The sequence below is a fragment of the Homo sapiens genome, chromosome 18, assembly GCF_000001405.40.
Source record: "Homo sapiens chromosome 18, GRCh38.p14 Primary Assembly".
NCBI classification, from domain to species: domain Eukaryota; kingdom Metazoa; phylum Chordata; class Mammalia; order Primates; family Hominidae; genus Homo; species Homo sapiens.
This window is the reverse complement of record NC_000018.10, coordinates 5,536,541-5,542,793: the sequence shown is the minus strand read 5'-3', so window position 1 is coordinate 5,542,793 and position 6,253 is coordinate 5,536,541. Positions and strand designations below refer to the sequence as shown.

Below are 6,253 nucleotides of genomic sequence, written 5' to 3'. Positions count from 1 at the left end.
GTGGTCCCTTGCAATGAGAGTATTCTTTTCAATTTTCTTTTTATATTACGGATCTGAAGTTTTCTAGGGTTTTTCCGTTAGTTGCAGCCCAGGGTTAAAGTTGGTAGAGATTGTTGCGGAACAGAACAAATAGAATGATAAAGGAAACATGTGGTGTTAATTACTTGTGGAGGTTGGGCTGGGAGGTCCTGAGAGGGCCGGGCAGTCCTGCTAATGCAGTGCTTCCATTGCGTGTTTAAGTTGTTTCAGCTTTTTTACATTAGTCTCGCGGAATTGCTTTTGCAGATACCCTGCCTGTCCTTTTTGTTGAGGGGGGGTGGGGAGTGGGGCACAGTGAGAATTTTAGGCTGCCTGAGGTGGCCAGGTGTGCTGGAGTTTGTCTTGGTAGCATTAACTTCTATAGTACAGGAAGCGTCACACCAAGTGCTTAAAAACATTGTTTTTGAAATTTACCTTGATTTTTAAAGTCTCAAGGAAACAAAAATGATAAAATTCTGCTTATGTCTGTGAGCCATGGACGTAGTCCCAATTACAGCAAATTAAGCAGAAAAGCCCTATTAAGAAAAGAGAGCAGCACATCAAGCTCCAGTGAACTCTGGGGACTGAGAGGTGATTTCTGTCTTGGCTCAGAGTGAGTGTTTAAAAAATGCATGTTAATTTTGGTATCAAACTTTAAAAACTTTAGTTGGAGTAACAAAATTAATGTGAGAGGGAATAAATACTAAATTGGAGAAGCGTGACTTCAATTTGTTAATTTGCAAGGCATTGATAGCTGAATGCTGAATACTGTCTCATTTGCATTATGGTTTTCTGGTGGTTTAGAAAAGCAAAATATCAGATGCACAACTTACTGCATCAAGTTTATTTAGTTAATACACTTTAGCCAAAATAAGTTTTTCAAAACAGAACATGTTTTGTGAATAATTCATCCATAACAAGAAGAGTAGCCACTTTAATTTGTAAACCGCTTTTAGCTGAAGGATTCAGGAGCTGTAGGTCAAATGTCAGTGTCTCAATGAAATATTTGCGTTTAATTTTTAAGACATTTCTTCTGCATGAATGCGATTTAGGTTAAAAGCAATTTTTTATCAGTTCATGTACACTGCTTGGACTTTGGACAACTTTGTGTTGAAATAAAAGATCAGGATTTTTTTTAACTTGATCGGATGCAATTTTATTTATAATTGTTTTTTAAAAACTGGTTGGTCAAATGTATTAAAGGGCCACCTAGGTAGAAGAGAGGCAACTATCCATGTACTGAGAGATGTGATGCTGTTATCTTGTGAATCTTTTCTGGACTTATATAGTATATTAGATTAAGTGTGGCAGGAACTTGCTGTAAAAGTATTTTCTTCCGTGTTGTATGATGTGCATTCATCTTTTAAGTTAGTGCTTTCCCTAAAATTCACAAATTAGAATTCATGTCCACTCCAGTAAAATAGAACTCCAAGAGTAGACTGAAGAATAAATGTTTCCTTTCTGTGAGAATTTGAGTATATATAATGAAGAGAGAGACTTTTTTTTTTTTTTTTTTTTTTTTTGAGATGGAGTCCTTCTGTGTCACCCAGGCTGGAGTGCAATGGCACGGTCTCCGCTCACTGCAACCTCCGACTCCTGGGTTCAAGCAATTCTTTTGCCTCAACCTCCCGAGTAGCTGGGATTATAGGCGACCACCACCACACCCTGCTAGCTTTTTTTTTTTTTTTTTTGAGACGGAGTCTCGCTCTGTCGCCCAGGCTGGAGTGCAGTGGTGCGATCTCGGCTCACTGCAAGCTCCGCCTCCCGGGTTCACGCCATTCTCCTGCCTCAGCCTCCCGAGTAGCTGGGACTACAGGCGCCCGCCACCACGCCCGGCTAATTTTTTTGTATTTTTGGTAGAGAAGGGGTTTCACTGTGTTAGCCAGGATGGTCTCGATCTCCTGACCTCGTGATCCACCCGTCTCGGCCTCCCAAAGTGCTGGGATTACAGGCGTGAGCCACCGCGCCCGGCGGAGAGAGGGTTCTTGAGTAATCTACCCTGGCCGTCTTTAATTCCCATAGTCTCCCCTAAGTACCCCATCAGTTTTCCGTGAAATATAGACTCACCATTGAAACCTATGAATCAAATTTATCTTTAGCACCACTTCAGTTAGAGAGATCCTTAATCGTGCAATCGCTGCATCTATTTCTTTCAAACGGCTAGCTAGCTGCTGATTTGTTGGGAATTCATCAGGCACTCAGCCCGGGAGGGTTCTGCTGTTATTTGATTTGCCTTGGCTGTGGGGAATTCTGTGCTCAGAAGCAAGGACTGGAGCAGTGAAGTCATTGTCCTGCCTGGTGTTGTGACATCACTATGGCTCAAAGGAAACAAGGGTGGGGCAGGCAAAACCAGACCATCTGAAGCATCTTGCTGGCTTTAAAACTTTGCCTGATCAATCAATGAGACTCCTTTCTCAAGTTGAACTGCATTGCGAGGTATTGTTTGGAGAATTGAAAGGTGTAAATGAATATAAGACTGCATGGGAAAATGTGTCTCCAAGAGTAAGGAAGGAGACGTTTTTTGTTTGTTTGTTTTTTGTGAAATAGTAGAAAGCACTGAATATTCCTTTTGTAGAGAAAACTGTAATTTTTTAGAAGGGCCATTTACAAAATTAAAGAACAAGAAAAATGAGTATATTTTTATTTATATATTGAGGCAACATATTTCTTACTGTTCTTTGTACTAAAACAGCATTCTTTTTAAATTCTTGATTTAGGTTATTAGTAATGTCTTTTAAAAAAAGTATGTGGTCTCTCTAAAGATGCAATTTACTTATTGGGTAGGCAATGTTCTCATTTATTTTTAAGTGATGTGATTGCAGTTGGCAATAGGAAAAAATGGAAAAAGGTGTTTCATAAGTAGAAGATATCTGCAGTGATTTGGAGTAATTGATTTCCATTTCCATTTTTGTTTTATGTACTAATTATTTTATAATTTAGCATTTTAATCCTAATTTAGAATTCTAGTGCAGAGATGATCAGAGACATATTTCACCCAAATTAGTGTTGAATAAATGATAAGACTGAAATTCGGAAGCAATAAAGTATATTTCATGTTTTCCTTTCTGAATTTATAGTAATATCAGCATAAAAAATGAAGAACCACAGAATGGCTGCAGATGTTCCTTGTCTTTTCCATGACTGACATTTTTCATGTGAGTGTATTATGTATGTAGGAGCTCTGGGCAGTTCTTTCTTAACTATGTAGCAATTCCAGAGCACAGTTTCAAAGCATAAAGAAGAAACAAATTGGGAAGAATGGCACAAGAAGACAAGTTGAAATTAGATGCCAGAACTGCAGATTACTTGGTTGAAATGTCTTTGGTGTTGCATTTTTAGTCCTTGCGATGATTGGTTAAATTGCATACTTTGGAATTGTAAGCTTCTATTAGCACCAATTCTTTTGTAATTTGCAGTACAGAGAAAAAGCTGACAACTTAATTTTTAGATTGCTGACATTTTGATACATTGTTCTTATAACCCTGCCTTACAAACTAAAAACAGAGAGAGAGAGAGAGAGAGAGAGAAAGCAGAAAGGTCTATATTAGACCTAGAAAACAAATGTAATATTTAACCTGCCTTGAGTATATATTTTTCTCTCCAGTTATATTGGGTGGGTGCTTGATGAGGATAGGGAGTTATTTCTCTTCAGGTTTCTTTCCCAAACCAAGTAAAGGTCTAGACACTTAAAGCATTCAGTAAATACTTACGAAATTGTATAAAAAATGGGGCCATTTGTAACTTACGCTTTACTACCAAAAAAAAAAAAAAAAAAAAAAATCTTGGAGAAAGCTTAAAAAGCACTGCTGCTTTATTTAAAAATGAGAATTACCAGACTCATGTATGTAGTCATTATTTTTAATGGCGTGGTCCTCTTCATAACAAGGTTGTTACCTCTGTCTGTAGCTCAAATTGGTAGATCCTAGAGGTTTTGCCATATCAGGGAAGAGAATTCTGCAGGTACCAAGAGAAAAGAAGAATGGTTTCTTTGAGGGAAGAACTGCAGGGAGTCGGTTTCCTTTCCTGCCAGCTCTAATTGGTGTCATGGAGGACATCAGTGTGGAGGGTGTCCTCTGAAGAGGGGAGGGATCAAATGGTAGGGTGACAAAAGCTGAAAAGGATTAGTGCTGGGAGATGATATTGATCTCCTAGCATTCAACTAAAGAGAGGAAAACTATTTTCTGTTTTAGCTCTCTCTTCTTTGGTCATTTTTGTACATGCCTGTGTTTACATCCTCAAATAGCGAGTTTCTTTGTATTTGATTCAAGCCCCAAATTTCATCATTTCTAAAAGAAAGTTATTTTTTCACATTTAACATCTCTGAAATTGGGATATGTCTTACATGGCTCTCAGCCATGTTGCAGAGAAAAAGCTGGCAACTTAATTCATTGTTTGTGAATATGCATCAAAAATTGGACATTGGATGTTAGTGGATTGGAGAAAATCCTGGAGACAGTAATGGAGCACTCTTAAGTGATACATTTCTAGTGCTCGTGGTGACCCAAGTTGATATTGTGTGGAAAAGCATAGACAGCAGTAACTCTTAGTTGACGTGCAATTTGGTAGAGTTGGATTCTGAATATGTAAGAATTTTTGGGAACACCTTGGCCAATCTATTTTGTTTATATTTTCTTTATGCGTTGAATAACTCAATCAGAGTTCTTTAGATAAGAAGAAAATGAAAATTCCAGTTTCTAAAAATGTGTGAGTCATAGCTTAATTGGCAGAGTGCTATACAACATGATGTTATCTCTTATAATCAGTGTCATGAATCTTATGAAATATGGTTTATCATTTGGCTATGCAATTTTTTGAAATGTACTTTATAATATGTAATGCTTATTTTACACTGTCCATTCTGTGTATCAGTGATTGTTTTTCTATGTATTATTGATTGTTTCCTATAAAAGGATCCTTTTATAGGGAAAATCTATTGAAAATTCTTCATTTCCCATTTTGACTTTCCATTTTGGCCTTGGGAAGATGACTGGATTTTGATAGAGACTCTCAATTAGTCATTGAGAAGACATTCCAGATAGGACATTCCAGAAGTCAAGAGACCTGCCTTTAGCTGGAATATAGCCTGTATGCTGGGGAGTAATGGGAGGTGCATCTAAGTAGGGAGTGTGAGGCCTGATTGTGGAAGGTTTTTGGATATGAGACTAAGGGATATTTGGGGCTTTGCTAGGTAGTGGGGAGTTATTGAAAGTGGTTGAGTAGGGAAGAAGAATATTTTTTCTGGTGATAAGTGTAGGATGAGTTGGAAGAATAGGAATCTGGAGACAGATGGTCTTTAGTTAATGGAGTTATCCAAAATTTTGCAGAAATTGAATGTGATGTTTTTTTCTCTCAATGATTGATATTTTGGCAATTCATTCCATCTTTTTGTGGGAGTATTTAACTGAGGATTAAATACTACTTTTGGATTGTTTAAGGTAGAAAATGAGATATACGAAATATGGGAAGATTTTCCTTATCCTTTCAATGAATGTATCTCAGTTATTTGAGATATTAAAAATAATACATTCTCACTTTAAAATATAGTCTAACAATACAGAAAAACCAAAAAAGGCAATGTCATTATCTACCTTTCTGAATGTATTACGTATCAGAGTGGAATAGGACACACCTGGGTTGGGCTCTCGGCCTTGCTATTTAATAACTATGTGGCATGGTTCTTTTAACTTCCTAGAGCCTGTTTGCTCGTTTATAAAATGGGCATAATGCTTATATCTGAAGGATATGAGGATTAAATGATGTAATACATGCAAACACTGAGCACAGTATCTGGTATATCACAAGTGCTTCATAAATAGCAGTAGCATCATTTTGTACATATACAGACTCATATGTAGATTACATAATATTTTACATGAATAGACTTCTGTCTTAAATACTTCTATGTAACCATTTTTTGTTTGTTTGTTTCGTTTGTTTGTTTTTTGAGAACAGAGTCTCACTCTGTTGCCCAGGCTGGAGTGCAGTGGCACGATATCAGCTCACAGCAACCTCTGCCTCCCGGGTTCAAGTGAGCCTCCCAGGTTCAAGCGAGTCTCCTGCCTCAGCCTCCCAAGTAGCTGGGATTATAGGCAACCGCCACCCTGCCCAGCTATTTTTTTTTTTTTTGAATTTTTAGTAGACATGGGGTTTTACCACGTTGGCAAGGCTGGTCTCGAATGATCCTGACCTCAAATGATCTGCCCGCCTTGGCCTCCCAAAGTGCTGGGATTACAGG

General features: G+C 37.8%; 1 protein-coding gene across 38 annotated transcripts in view; it reads left to right on the top strand.

The window, feature by feature from the left end:
* Window positions 1–6,253, top strand: part of EPB41L3 (erythrocyte membrane protein band 4.1 like 3) — a 238,278-nt gene that overhangs the window by 87,870 nt on the left and 144,155 nt on the right. Inside the window, exon 1 of one of the 38 annotated variants that reach the window (NM_001281533.2) lies at window positions 2,370–2,454. The exons of the other annotated variants lie outside the window; for them this stretch is intronic. The gene's annotated coding sequence lies outside the window, so the exon portion shown is untranslated. Of the gene's footprint in view, window positions 1–2,369; window positions 2,455–6,253 lie in introns of those variants that run through there. 38 annotated transcript variants of the gene reach the window in all.